At 37.2% G+C, this 1,076-nt stretch overlaps 1 annotated feature.

Annotated features, from left to right (window-relative positions):
• Nucleotides 622-821: a silencer, noted in NCBI's record as "fragment chr18:36698331-36698530 (GRCh37/hg19 assembly coordinates)". NCBI's record gives its function as "represses an EF-1alpha promoter that drives an FKBP-Casp9 reporter gene in an ReSE screen in HepG2 liver carcinoma cells {active_cell/tissue: HepG2}" and the evidence as "EXISTENCE:reporter gene assay evidence [ECO:0000049][PMID:32094911]".

The raw sequence follows: 1,076 nt of genomic DNA, 5'->3' as shown, positions 1-1,076 counted from the left end.
TCTGCTTTTATTAACATATGATGTTGAAAAACATTTTCACAGGTCTCCCTTCAGGAATTGAAACTTAATTTCTCTCCCTTTTTGTGTGTACTGGACTTAGGGACTCAATTTTTAAAAGTGGAGCATGGAAGATAAAAAATAGTAGCTTCATATTGGAGAAACCTGGAAGAAACTCCCTTTACCAAGTTGCCAAGGTTAACATCACAAATAATGAGACATAAGATAAGATGAAGTGAGAAAGACACTTCTTTCTTTGGTATTCTTTCCAAATATCCATAACATCAGTCTAATCATGAGAAAAAGTCAAAAAAAAAAAAAACAAAGTAACTGATTGCAAGTTTGAAGGTCATGAAAAACTTAGATTGAGAAGCTGTCACACACCAGAAGAGACTAAATGCAATGTGGTGTCTTAGATTGGATTATTCTACAAAGAAAAACATTCGTGGAAAACTAAACAAATTCAAAAATGTCTGTAATTTAGTTAAGAGCTTTGCACCAGTGCTAATTTATTTCTCCTCCTTTTCCTCCTTCTCCTTCTTCGAAACAGGGTCTCACTCTGTTGCCCAGGCTGTAGTGCAGTGGCATAATCATAGCTCACTGCAGTCTTAACCTCCTGGGCTCAATCTATCCTCCAGCCTCAGCCTCCTGAACAGCTGGGATTATAGGTGCTTACCACCACACCCAGATAATTTTTGTATTTGTTGTAGAGATGGGGTTTCATCATGTTGCCCAGACTGGTCTTGAACACCTGGGCTCAAGTCATCCTCTCGCCTTGGCCTCCCAAAGTGCTGGGATTACAGATGTGAGCCACCACGCCCAGCCACCAATGCTAATTATGATAGTTGTGATAATTATTAATGTGATAATAGTTAGAAAAGAGGTCAACATTAGGGGAAAGTGGGTGAAGGGTATCTGTGGCCTCTCTGTACTCTCTTTGAAAGTCTTTAGTAAGTTTAAAATTATTTCAAAGTAAAAAATTTAAAAACAACTCAAAAGATTAAAAAAATAAAGTTGGCAACATAATTCTGGAAGACAGAAGAGAGATTAGAGCTAGAGATATAAATTTAAAAGTTGCA

Source organism: Homo sapiens, chromosome 18 (assembly GCF_000001405.40).
Source record: "Homo sapiens chromosome 18, GRCh38.p14 Primary Assembly".
Classification (NCBI taxonomy): Eukaryota; Metazoa; Chordata; class Mammalia; order Primates; family Hominidae; genus Homo; species Homo sapiens.
This window is presented reverse-complemented; position numbering and strand designations above follow the sequence as displayed.